Source organism: Homo sapiens, chromosome 20 (assembly GCF_000001405.40).
Source record: "Homo sapiens chromosome 20, GRCh38.p14 Primary Assembly".
Lineage (NCBI taxonomy): Eukaryota > Metazoa > Chordata > Mammalia > Primates > Hominidae > Homo > Homo sapiens.
In genome coordinates this window covers 34,284,972-34,298,261 of record NC_000020.11, presented here as the reverse complement: position 1 = coordinate 34,298,261, position 13,290 = coordinate 34,284,972, and the positions used below count along the sequence as shown (strand labels likewise).

At 52.4% G+C, this 13,290-nt stretch overlaps 1 protein-coding gene across 9 annotated transcripts in view; it reads left to right on the top strand.

Annotated features, from left to right (window-relative positions):
* AHCY (adenosylhomocysteinase) overlaps positions 1 to 13,290 on the top strand; it is a 79,856-nt gene that overhangs the window by 13,575 nt on the left and 52,991 nt on the right. For all 9 annotated transcript variants that reach the window (XM_047439962.1, XM_017027709.3, XM_011528659.2 and 6 more), the window contains exons 2-9: positions 2,677 to 2,867; positions 4,106 to 4,181; positions 5,755 to 5,904; positions 6,731 to 6,843; positions 7,324 to 7,531; positions 7,624 to 7,711; positions 7,813 to 7,930; positions 12,628 to 12,822. In XM_047439962.1, the coding sequence (XP_047295918.1) occupies positions 2,677 to 2,867; positions 4,106 to 4,181; positions 5,755 to 5,904; positions 6,731 to 6,843; positions 7,324 to 7,531; positions 7,624 to 7,711; positions 7,813 to 7,930; positions 12,628 to 12,822 (1,139 nt within the window). The remainder of the gene's footprint in view (positions 1 to 2,676; positions 2,868 to 4,105; positions 4,182 to 5,754; positions 5,905 to 6,730; positions 6,844 to 7,323; positions 7,532 to 7,623; positions 7,712 to 7,812; positions 7,931 to 12,627; positions 12,823 to 13,290) is intronic.

Genomic DNA, 13,290 nt, shown 5'->3' with positions numbered 1-13,290 from the left:
AGTATAACTATTCTTGTTTTATATTTTATTATACTGGAACAGCTCGTGTCCTCTGTCTCTTGCCTCGGTGCCTGGGTGGCTTGCCGCCCACAGGACAGCTCATCTATTTTATTTTATTTTTTTGAGACCGAGTCTCACTCTGTCACCCAGGCTGGAGTGCAGTGGCATGATCTCAGCTCATTGCAGCCTCTGCCTCCCAGGTTCAAGTGATTCTCCTGCCTCAGCCTCCTGAGTAGCTGGGATTACAGGCACCCACCACCACACCCGGCTAATTTTTGTATTTTTAGTAGAGACGGGGTTTCACCATGTTGGTCAGGCTGGTCTTGAACTCCTGACCTCAAGTGATCTGCCCACCTTGGCCTCCCAAAGTGTTGGGATTACAGGTGTGAGCCACCGCGCCCATTCAACTCATCTGTGGTAACAGGAAAGAGTGCCTGGTCTGAAGCTGTAGATGACTGCTATAGGTGACTAGTGGATTCCATAGGGGAAAAGTGGCCTGGTTCTGAATTCATCTCAGTGAATTGGGAAGTGAGATTGTCATTCAATGGGGAAAGGTGTTGGAGGGTTGAGGAGAGTAGAAAATGGGAGTAAATTTACTAGGAAAATGTCATAGGATTGCTGCAATGTGCTATGTGTCTTTTATGGTCTTAATAAATATGATATCTTGGCCAGGTGTGGTGGCTCACACCTGTAATCCCAGCACTTTGGGAGGCTGAAGCAGGTGGATCACGAGGCCAGGAGTTCAAGATCAGCCTGGCCAACATGGTGAAACCCCGTCTCCTCTAAAAATACAAAAATTAGCTGGGCATGGTGGCGAGTTCCTGTAATCCCAGCTATTGGGGAGGCTGAGGCAGGAGAATTGCTTGAACCGGGACCTGAGAGGTGGAGGTTGCAGTGGGCCGAGATCGCGCCACTGCACCCCAGCCTGGTCTACAGAGCCAGACTATGTCTCTAAAATAATTAATTAATTAATTAATTAAATATGATGTCTTGGTGGGGTTGTGATTGTCCTCCTGCTGGGTTCAGTGGGTCCGGTGCAGTGGAGGGTCGGGTTTAATTGGGCTGAGAGTTTTGCCAAGTGAGTTCTCAAAGGGAAAGGGGGTAGAAGGGACACTAGAAATTGGTAGGATGAATTGAATAGAGGTTCTCACCTGACAGGCCACAGCCTTGTTGGAGCTTGGCCTCTGGAAGGAGAAAACCAGAAAGATGAGGCGTGGCTAGAGTTGGGTGCTTGAAGTCCAGATTTCCAAGGAGAGCTATCACTGGTGATGGCCTACTAGGGTAGGAGGGCTGGGGTGGGTGGCTTGAGTTGAGGCACAGCCGGAGTGGTCTCTCATGCGGGAGGCGTGTTTCATCTCTGAAATTGTTAAAATGCACTGTAGGAAGCTGACTGACAGACAATTTTATTGATTATTAAATTCTTAGATTATTAAATTCTCTACAGAGTCCTTTGCCTCCCACCGCCTACCTCTTTGGGTGTTTGGCAGGATCTCAGCTTCCCTAAAGATAAAAATCACCAGGAGTCTTAGACCTGCTGAATCATATTTTCCAGGGGAGATTTACAAGCATGCCAGAGGAACATCCCTTACCGGGGAAGTCTGCAAACTTTGACCTAGGGACTGACCTAGGGTATGACCTTGGAAGTGGACCAGTGTGGTAGGGGAGAGTATTGAGATAGTGAGTTAGCTCATAATAATATCCTTCTTTCCTGCCTGAGAATTTGAACAAATTCGAGACATTTTAGGTGGCAGATAGCACCTGAAATACTTTTTGTTACTAGTAACCATGAAGCCAGAGGATGTAGATTAGTATTTTAGGTGGCAACACCTGAAATATTACCTTTTATTACTAATAACCTCAAAGCCAGAGGATATAGATTAATATGAAATCCAAATGATCCTGCTTATTGAACCCCCAGATTCAGCAGTTACCCAATCAGTTGCAGGCAAGGTGGGCCAGGGTAGGTTGGTCTCTGGAAAAGCAGAGAACACCAGCTTCCTGCAAGTGGGCAGGTGAGTGCTTGCTTGCAAAAAGAAGGGAGAGCTAAGCTGAGCACACCATTTTTTCCTCTCAGTTTTACTGGTCAGACAAGCTCACCCCACCTCCCCTGGGGCAGAGAGGCCAAGAGCATTCGTTATACGGATGAGTTCCTCCAGGTGGAAAGAAACATCAGGAGTGGGGAAGCATTTTTACATCTAAAAGGAGATCAAGGAACTGTCAAATCCAAAATGTTAGATAGTATTTATAAGTGTTGAATCACCGAGAGTGATGACTGAGAGAGGAAGATGGAGAACCAGCAGCTAACATCTTTAGGGAGTCTTTAGGGAGTGAGGAGTGGCCTGGAGGTTGGTAGGTGTCAGCAGAAAGGCAGGGTAGTGGGAAGTATCATGTGAGCTATTTTTCAAAGGGACGCTTCTTTATGTTGTAATTTTTGTGTCCCTGTGTGATTAAATGTGTTCTCCCACAAGTCAGAAAGGTGCAGGTAGGCAGGGACCGTGTCTTTCTTGAGTACTCTGGCTTCATAAATACTTGTTGCATGAGTGAGAGAATGCGGTGACAGAGTGCTAAGCCCTAGTGTGTTGAGTCCACACGTGGATCGGGGTCCATGCAGTGACCGCCCCTCTTGGTTGGTGGGATGAGGGGACTCACGGAACTCCCACCTGTTTCCTCCCGTAGCCGACATCGGCCTGGCTGCCTGGGGACGCAAGGCCCTGGACATTGCTGAGAACGAGATGCCGGGCCTGATGCGTATGCGGGAGCGGTACTCGGCCTCCAAGCCACTGAAGGGCGCCCGCATCGCTGGCTGCCTGCACATGACCGTGGAGACGGCCGTCCTCATTGAGACCCTCGTCACCCTGGGTGCTGAGGTGAGGCCCACAGCTGTATCACCCCAGAGTCCTTGCCCTCCCTGGGTTCAGCCAGGGAAGAAGACGACTGTGCCAGGGTGGGGACCTTCCAGGTGTGGAGCTGACCGCGGGCCTGGAGGGGTTCCTCCCTCTCACTCGGTTTCCTCCGTTTCCCAGTGCTGCCACCCCTTGTGGTGAGTGTTCTGCAGATTTTCTCCCTGGCTGGGAAGGTCACTGTTGGCTACCCTCAAGGCATCCTCCTGATGGATGCTCTGGCAGGAAAAATTCAACACCCATGTCCTACTTAGTCTCTTAAGGGCCAGCTTGCCTTGGCCCTTCGGGGGTCACAGGCCTACCCTGGACCCATCATGGCTGCTGGATGATGGCAGCTCTGATTGGTTCAGCCTGGGTCATGTGTGCCAATGATTAACAGCTCTCCTAAGGTCTCAGAGAGTCAAGAAGCAAGCTGGTTTCCCAAAGCAGGGTAGGGCAATGGAGCCAAAATCCACAGAGGGGCTCAGGGCTGAGTCCTTGGACCTCTTCTTTCTTTTCAGCATTCACTCTTGGCGGTCTGATTTTATAGCTTTAGACACTATCTGGTGATGACTGTCACATTTTTGTACTAGCCTGGACTTCTCCTGGAACTCAAGACTGGCATATCCAGGAGCGGGGGCGTTGACGCTCCCTGGAGGTCTAGTACTCATCTCAGGCAGAACGCGTTCAAACAGACTCAGGATTTTCTGCCCCCTCTTCTTCCCAAAGCCTTCCCCACCTGAGTAAATGGAACCTCTGTTCCAGCCTTCTGGGTTCTCTCAATTCACGAATCTGGGAGTCATCTCCTCCCCTCCCTTTCCTCCCCACTCCCAACTCCCTTTACTCCAACAACTCATCCCTCTGCAAATCCTGTCAGTGCAGCCTTCAGAGTAGACCCAGGATGTGACAACTTCTCATCATCTCCACTGCTACTGTCATATTTCTTGTCTGGAGTCTTCTCCAACAGTCTCTGCAGTTGTCCCCTTGCTTCCACCCTTTCCCTTCCACACAGCACTGGAGTGAGGTTTTAAAACCTGAGTTGGATCTCGCCCCTGCTCTGGCTCCCATCTGCCCACCCAGCATCCCCAGCCTGTGATCCTAGAGCTTGCTGTGCCTAGATCCCAAGCCTCTCCCCACTACCCGAAGCTCTCCCTTTTCCTCGCCCAGCGTCCCTGGTGCTTTTGAGCCATCAGTGACCAACAGCCTTGTTTTGATGGCTCTTCTAGGTGCAGTGGTCCAGCTGCAACATCTTCTCCACCCAGGACCATGCGGCGGCTGCCATTGCCAAGGCTGGCATTCCGGGTAAGTCCTGCTTGCTTCTGAGACGTGGAATTTGTGAAGGGATTCTGCCCTCTTTGCTTCACTGACTGCTAGAGCAACAGACTTCCTTACATATCAGAAAGGGAGAGGAGTCACCGCCACAAAATCCTAGCCCAGCGACCCCACAGGAAAGAGCTGCTTTGTCCCATCATCATCTAAAATCCTGTGGAAGTTGTTTATTGACCCAGGTCAAGCCGTGTAACCAGGAAGAGCAAGATCTTATGATTGGGAACTACATGATGAAGCGGAGGGGAAGTTCATTAAAGGAAGGATGTGGATCTCTTTCCAAAGAACTGGGGAGGGCTACGGGGCAGAAAAAGAGGTTCACTGCCTAGGGTATGGCGGTCTAAAGGACTGAGGAAGGACCAAGTCTAACGAGAATGGAGTTTTCACAGGCTGGGCACATGTCTGCTTGGACTTGGGGAGGGGAGTGGTTAGATCTGACCCAGTGATTAGGACATTCAAGATTGCTTCTAACCAACCACAGGTGGACAGGAGGGGGTGGCACAGCACTCCTTCACAGACTGACCAGGGCTGAATGGGCATGATCCCCATTCCTCAGCCTTGGCACCGTGGCTTTCTTCTTTTTTTTTTTTCTTTTTGAGACAGAGTCTTGCCCCGTTGCCCATACTGGAGTGCAGTGGTGCGATCTTGGCTCACTGCAATTCTTAAGACTATTGTCTGCTCCAGTTGTGGGTAGAAGCAGCTGGCTCTGCTTGGCCAGCGTCCTTTGCTCACAAGAGGCTCCTGGGAACCCCACACCTGTGCCCTAGTCATGCCACATGGGAGGAGTGTGGGCTGGTGGTCAGTAGCCCTCAGTTCTGGTGTCTATTCTGGAATTTCATTTAGAGTGGCCCAAGTGCGTCTTAGCTCCTCTCTGGGCATCTGTAAGTGATGATAATGGTCATGGCTGCCTCACAGGGTTTCTATGAGGAAGAATGAGATGGGGTATGGAGGATTTAGAGTCATGTCTGGCAGAAAGCAAGTACCCCACACATGGTAGCTGCTCGTAGTCATTTTTTGGCCAGACTTTGCCTGAGATTCCCCCACACAGAGGCTGCTAGTGCTCCAGTCCTTTCAGTGCAGAGCAAACCCTGGATCCTGCCGTGTGGATCCTGCTGAGGGGGAGGCGTTGTGGGGTATCAAGCCCTGGTCACTCAGGGTTGATGCCTCAGTCCTTGGCGCCCAGGCAGAAGGGGATGGGAAAGGAAAGAATGATTTCCTGATATCTATATCTGGGGCGGGGGGCTGTACATGGCTTCTGTCTCACTTAATCCATACTATTGTGAGCCCTATTTACAGAGGAGAAGACTGAGGCTCAGAGAGGTGAAGTGATTTGCCCAAGGTCACACAGCTGGCAAGTGGCAGAGCCAGGGTTTGAACTCAGATCTATCTGGCTCCAAGTTGTGTCCTGACCACTGCTGAGTTTTCAGAGGGGCCGGAGGTGGCTGGGGATGGGAGTTGGGAAGGAGGTAGTTTTGGCTCTGCCAGAGTTGTTCCCTGGAGCAGGTACCAGTTGGGAAGTCCAGGCCCTGATGTGCCACTCACCCTCCAGTGTATGCCTGGAAGGGCGAAACGGACGAGGAGTACCTGTGGTGCATTGAGCAGACCCTGTACTTCAAGGACGGGCCCCTCAACATGATTCTGGACGACGGGGGCGACCTCACCAACCTCATCCACACCAAGTACCCGCAGCTTCTGCCAGGTGAGCAGGGCGGGGCAGGTGGGCTGGGTGCTGGTGGCCTGGGTGGGGCCTGTTTGCCCACATGATGGCCGCAGGCCTGGCAGGACTCCCATCACCTCAAGCAGCAGGATCTGGAAGATGGGAGGATGGCAGGCTCTGGCATTCATGCTGGGGCCTCCTGACTTCTGAGGGTGCGAGGCTAGGGCAGCTGAGCTGATGGCCCAAGGGCAGGCACAGACAGGGCCATGGTTGGGAATAGCTGGGAGGGAGCCAGCTTTGTTCAAAGCAGGTACGCAGAGTGCAGAGGCCCTGAGGCAGGAATGGCTGGAGTGTTCAGGAAACAGAAAAGAGGCCCACAGGATAGCAGTGAGCAAAGGGAGCCTTCACTGCGGGTATGGTGTGAACTTCGTGAAGACCAGATGTGTCAGGGCCTAATAGGCCAATAGAAAAGTGTTTGACCTGATTTGCAGAGCAAGGGGAAATAACTGGAGGGCGTTGAGAAGATTTCTCTGAGAAGATACATGTTAGAAATGGCTGCTGCATGGAGGATGGGTTGTGGTAGGGAGACTGGGAAGAAGCGACAGGGTCACGGACTAGAGCAGCGGCAGTGAGAATAGAGAAGCTGGGAGTTGTTCGGAGGCAGAGTCACTAGGCCTGGTGGTGGCTTCCCTGTAGGAGGGCGTTGGGGACTCCTCCCTCACGCGGGTCTGGGTGATTGGGGGGCCTGTGGGATCAGTCACAGAGATGGGAACCCAGAAAGAGGAATGGCTTTAGGGGGTAAAGATGAGGAATTTGCATGAGCACAGGTGTGGCATCTCTGAGGCTTGTCCTGTCCCCTCTTGTTTAGGCATCCGAGGCATCTCTGAGGAGACCACGACTGGGGTCCACAACCTCTACAAGATGATGGCCAATGGGATCCTCAAGGTGCCTGCCATCAATGTCAATGACTCCGTCACCAAGGTGAGCCGAGGGGCAGTGACAGCTCCCGCTACAGTGGCTGCAGCTCAGGACGAGGCCTCTGAAGAAGAGTGCCCAGGAAGGCTGAGATTAGGGACATGAAGCCCTCATTTGAGGGGGCAAAAGCGGTTATAGACAGGCTAATGAGTGCGTTTAAAAGGGGTGTCAGAGCTGGGTGTTAGGAGCTTTATGGCTTTGGGAAGAAGAGCTTTCAAGTTAAGCAAGGTCTTTGACCGGGCAATCTCTCCTAGTAACTGATGCCTAGGAAGGCTCCACACTGGCAGAGAAAGATTAGAGAGAAGCTCTTTGAGCCGATCGGGGTGAAGGGCTTGTGGGGGCATTGGGTGCTGGAGGGGTTCAGCCCAGGCCGGGATGCTTGGTGGGCCCATGATGCCTGGGCTCTTCAGAATACTCTGAGGCCAAGTTGTCCTGGCCCCAGGGCCTTGCCTGCCCCTATTGTCTCCTTACCCCCTTTCCTTTCAGAGCAAGTTTGACAACCTCTATGGCTGCCGGGAGTCCCTCATAGATGGCATCAAGCGGGCCACAGATGTGATGATTGCCGGCAAGGTAGCGGTGGTAGCAGGCTATGGTGATGTGGGCAAGGGCTGTGCCCAGGCCCTGCGGGGTTTCGGAGCCCGCGTCATCATCACCGAGATTGACCCCATCAACGCACTGCAGGCTGCCATGGAGGGTAGGATAGGGCAAGGGTTGGTTGTCAGCCACTGGGGCCAGAGGGAGGGGCAAGGCCACCGTAGATGACCCACAGCCACTGTCTCTGCACAGGCTATGAGGTGACCACCATGGATGAGGCCTGTCAGGAGGGCAACATCTTTGTCACCACCACAGGCTGTATTGACATCATCCTTGGCCGGTAGGTGCCAGATGGGGGGTCCCGGGGAGTGAGGGAGGAGGGCAGAGTTGGGACAGCTTTCTGTCCCTGACAATCTCCCACGGTCTTGGGCTGCCTGACAGGCACTTTGAGCAGATGAAGGATGATGCCATTGTGTGTAACATTGGACACTTTGACGTGGAGATCGATGTCAAGTGGCTCAACGAGAACGCCGTGGAGAAGGTGAACATCAAGCCGCAGGTGAGAAGCTCCCGCCTTGCCAGTGGGCTGGGCAGATGGGAGTGCAGAGGAGTGCTGGCTGCCAGGGAGGAGAGCTGAGGAGATGGTGGCAACCTGTGCAGGGGGATGGGGAGAAGAGGGCCTAGCATCAGAGCCAGCCAGACGTGGCAACCTTATCCTGTGGGCAGCCGGCATCCCTGAAGGTATCAGGCAGGTGAGCTGTATGTGGTGAGGCTGTAGTTTTAGAAAGATCACTCTAGCTACTGTGTGCAGAATAAAAGCAACAATGGCGGGTGGTGGGGAGAGAGGCTTTTAGAGGAGGCTCGTAGAATCCCTGCAGGGGATGATGGCAGCCTCAGCTTAGGGAGTGCTGGGGTGGATGGACGGCATGTGGGGTCAGGATGGAGGCAGAGTAACAAAGGACACAGCTTTGGCCGGGCATGGTGGCTCACACCTGTAATCCCAGCACTTTGGAAGGCCGAGATGGGCGGATCACCTGAGGCCAGGAGTTCGAGACTAGCCTGGCCAACATGGTTGAAACCCCGTCTCTACTAAAAATACAAAAAAATTAGCTGGGCCGGGTGCGGTAGCTCATGCCTGTAATCCCAGCACTTTGGGAGGTCGAGGCGGGCGGATCACATGAGGTCAGGGGTTCGAGACCAGCCTGACCAATATGATGAAACCCCATCTCTACTAAAAATAGAAAAATTAGCCGGGTGTGGTGGCGGGCACCTGTAATCCCAGCTATTTGGGAGGCTGAGGCAGGAGAGAATTGCTTGAAGCTGGGAGGCGGAGGTTGCAGTGAGCCGAGATCGCACCCTCGCACTCCTGCCTGGTTAATAAGAGTGAGACTCCATCTCAAAAAAAAAAAAAAAAAAAAGGCCAGGTACAGTGGCTCATGCCTGTAATCCCAGCACTTTGGGAGGCCTAGGTGGGCAGATCACGAGGTCAGGAGTTTGAGACCAGTCTGGCCAACATAGTGAAACCCCGTCTCTACTAAAAATACAAGAAGTTAGCCGGGTGTGGTGATGTGCACCTGCAATCCCAGCTACTTGGGAGGCTGAGGCAGGAGAATCACATGAACCCGGGAGATGGAGGTTGTAGTGAGCCGAGATTGTTCCACTGCACTCCAGCCTGGGTGACAGTGCGAGACTCTGTCTCAAAAACAAACAAACAAAAAAATCAGCTGGGCATGGTGGTGGGTGCCTGTAATCCCAGCTACTCGGGAGGCTGAGGCATGAGAATCGCTTAAACGTGGTAGGCAGAGGTTGCAGTGAGCCGAGATTGCGCCATTGCACTCCAGCCTGGGCAACAGAGCGAGACTCCATCTCAAAAACAAAACTAAAAACAAAAAACAAAAAGGGACACAGCTTGAATCACTGTGTGAGGAGCAGGCCCATGCACTGAGCTGGGAAAGAACAGGTTTGCATTGGGCATTGGGGCACTGAAACTGGAAGATGAGTTCTTATAGGGGGTGTGAAGTTTTACTTGAGTTGCAATTATTATGAGTTTATTTTTTTCTCTGATTATAAAAGTAGTATGTTTCTGGAAGACATTTTGGCTTTGGATATCAAGAGCTTTAAAGTTAAGCAACCTCTTTGACTGGGCAATCTCTCCTATAATTGGTCCTTAGGATAATTAAATATGTATGTAGAGATGTTCATCATTTTTTTTTTCTTTTTTTGAGATGGGCTCACTCTGTTACCCAAGCTAGAGGGCAGTGGCATGATCATGGCACACTGCAGCCTTGACCTCCTGGGCTGAAGGAGCTGATCCTCCTGCCTCAGCCTTCCAAGTACCTGGGACTACAGATGTGCACTACTACACCTGGCTAACTTTTTATTTTTTGTAGAGACGAGGCCTTGCTGTGTTCCCCAGGCTGGTCTCAAACTCCTGAGCTTAAGTTATCTCCCAAAGTGCTGGGATTATAGGCGTGAGCTGCCACACCAGGTCCACCACATTTTTTAAAGGGAGAAAAGCCCACCTATGTGAGGTTCTTTGAGTTGGTGCTGTGCCGTGTTTGAGATATGATAAGGAAGATACAGACACAGAGTTGGCCAAAGCCCTGACACCCACCCAGTCACAGCCACACCAGAAGCCCAAGTCCCAGAGAGGCAGACAGGCAGCTCTATGAACCCACATCCCCTACACTGCTCCTCTTGGGTGCTCTGCTCCTGCGTGGGAGTTCTCCTTGGCTAGGTCCTGCACTAGTCTAGGGTGTCAGTTCCCGGCTAGGCAGAGGGCACCTCCATCTCTGCCTAGAAGGCCTGGCACTCATCACAGTGTGGGGGTGGCCAGGGCGTGCTTCTGTGGCAGCCACACCCCTGACAGCCATCTGTCTAGACCTCCTTTTTGCAAAGGCATCACAGGTGAAACCTGCTACATTGGGGTGATGGGCACCTTTCTGCCAAGCTGCCCTCCAAAGCTGGACTCTATGCCCACCCTCAACATCCTTGACAGTCTTGCCAACCTTCTGCCCAACATTATCTCTTGTCCGTCCTCTCAAGGGCCTCTGTACTCAGGCCATAATTGACCACTCCCTGAATACCCACTGCAGCTCCTACTTCTGCTCATCTGTCCAGACAGCTGCATTTGTCTGGAACAGAACACATGCCCTTCTCCTTGTTCATCTTCTCAGCCCAGCTCAAGAGACCCCCTTCTGGCCAGGCACGGTGGCACACACCTGTAATTCCAGCACTTTGGGAGGCCGAGGCAGGCGGATCACTTGAGGTCAGGAGTTTGAGACCAGCCTGGCCAACATGGTCAAACCCTGTCTCTACTAAAAATACAAAAAATTAGCTGGGCATGGTGGCTCATGCGTATAGTCCCAGCTACTCTGGAGGCTGAGGCAGGAGAATCGCTTGAACCCAGGAGGTGGAGGTTGCAGTGAGCTGAGATCACACCACTGTACTCCAGCCTGGATGACAGAGTAAGACTCCGTCTCAGAAAAAAAAAAAAAAAAAAAATTAATAAAATAAAAAAGAGACCCCCTTCCTGGCCAGCTCCTCTGGCAGAGGCAATGCCCACACTCTTAGTACAGACCCCTAGTGCAGCATCCATCACTGGCTTTGGTCTCTGACCCCACTGTTGTACCAGGAGGGTAGAGTCCAGGTTGACGTGTCCCTGCAAGGGGCTTAGATGGGTATCAGTGAGTGCTTATTGATTGAAGCATCAATCAATGCCTGATGGGCATCAGAGACCTTTCCTTGGATCGGTACTAGGCCTCTGGAGCAGCTTGGAAACCTGGGCTTTTGGGGAAATGTTTGGGAGGCTGCCTGAGGGTGGAGGGATGGCAAGGGAAGAGCTGGGAGTGGGGAGAAAGCAAGTTTGTGTGTTCAGACAGCTGGGACAGACGGAGGACTGGGGCACTGAGGCTGGGGATTTCCATGTCACGTTCACTCACTAAACCGGGAGTTCTCAACCTTGGCAGTCACCTGGGAGCCACACTGTGGGCCACAGGAATAGGAGTCTCTGGGAATGAGGCCAAGGTATCTTTTTTTTTTTTTTTTTTTTTTTTTGAGACGGAGTTTCGCTCTTGTTGCCCAGGCTGGAGTGCAATGGCGCGATCTTGGCTCACCACAACCTCCGCTTCCCAGGTTCAAGCGATTCGCCTGGCTCAGCCTTCCTGAGTAGCTGGGATTACAGGCATGTGCTACCATGCCTGGCTAATTTTGTGTTTTTAGTAGAGACAGGGTTTCTCCATGTTGTTCAGGCTGGTCCCGAACTCCCGACCTCAGGTGATTCCCCCCGCCTTGGCCTCCCAAAGTGCTGGGATTACAGGCATGAGCCACCGCGTCTGGCCTGGGTATCCTCATTTTTTAAAGCTTCTGAGGTGATTCCAATGTGAGCGCCACGGCATTCAGCTTTTGCTAAGCTGCATTCAAAACTATTTCATGGTTATTGAGAACATGGGATCTGTCCTCAGACCGTCCAGACTCAAATTGCAGCCTCCTCTTAGTGTGTGGCTCTGGACAAGTGACCTAACCCTTGTAAACTTCAGTTTCTGAATCTGAAATGGGGATGACAGCAGTACTGAAATCACAGGGTTGTTTCTGGGATGAAATGTGGTAGTTACCTGTAAAGGACTTAGTACAGGGCACATGACAGTGATCATAACGATAACATTAGCTGCTGCTTACTGAGTGCCTCATATGCGCCAAGCAAGTGTGAGCACGTGAAGTTCTCACAGCAGAACTGTGCAGTCTGCAGCTCAGCATTTCTTTGTTGTTTTTTTGTTTTTTGTTTTTTGAGACAGAGTCTCGCTCCGTCGCCCAGGCTGCAGTGCAGTGGTGCGATCTCGGCTCGCTGCAAACTCCACCTCCCAGGTTCACGCCATTCTCCTGCCTCAGCCTCCCGAGTGGCTGGGACCACAGGCGCCTGCTACCACGCCCGGCTAATTTTTTGTATTTTTTTTTTAGTAGAGACGGGCTTTCACTGTGTTGGCCAAGATAATCTCGATCTCCTGACCTCATGATCCGCCTGCCTCGGCCTTCCAAAGTGCTGGGATTACAGGCGTGAGCCACCGTGCCCCGGCCAGCTCAACATTTCTTAATAAATATTGGCTGTTATTTTTGTGCTAAGCCATGTGCTGGAGGTTGTTTTGGAGCAGTTCGGACTCCTCATGGGCACTGTTGGAGGCAGAGAGGCCTGCCAGATCAGAGGGTGGGCTGTGGGAGCGGGGCCCTGCCTGCCTTCACTGTTGCCCTGCCTGCGTGTAGGTGGACCGGTATCGGTTGAAGAATGGGCGCCGCATCATCCTGCTGGCCGAGGGTCGGCTGGTCAACCTGGGTTGTGCCATGGGCCACCCCAGCTTCGTGATGAGTAACTCCTTCACCAACCAGGTGATGGCGCAGATCGAGCTGTGGACCCATCCAGACAAGTACCCCGTTGGGGTTCATTTCCTGCCCAAGAAGGTGGGTTTATTCTTCTACCTCAAGCCAAGGGTCACGTGTCTAATCCTGGGATCCCCACACAGGGCTTGCCAGAGTTTATAAAGTGCTTGCCTGTCTGCCCTCTTAGAGGCCCTCATGGGGTCCTCTACAGTGCAGAAGTCATTCTCCCCATTGACAGAAGAAGAAACTGAGACCCACAGTAGGGAGTGGCTCCCTGGAGCACAGCAGAGCGGCAGGACCAGGTGGTGAGGAGAGCCTGGGCCTTGGAGCGGGACACACCCCAGTTTGAATCTCAGCCCCACCACTTACAGGCTGTGTAATCCAGGCAAATTCTTTCTCTGTCTTCATTTTCTCATCTGTGAAATGAAGGTAATAGCAACCCCCTTCAGGATTGTGAGGATTTCCTGAGATCATGAACCCACACACCCACAGGGGCTAGGCAGGTAAATGAGTGATGCCAGCTGAACAAGGACTGGAAGAGCTGAAGGG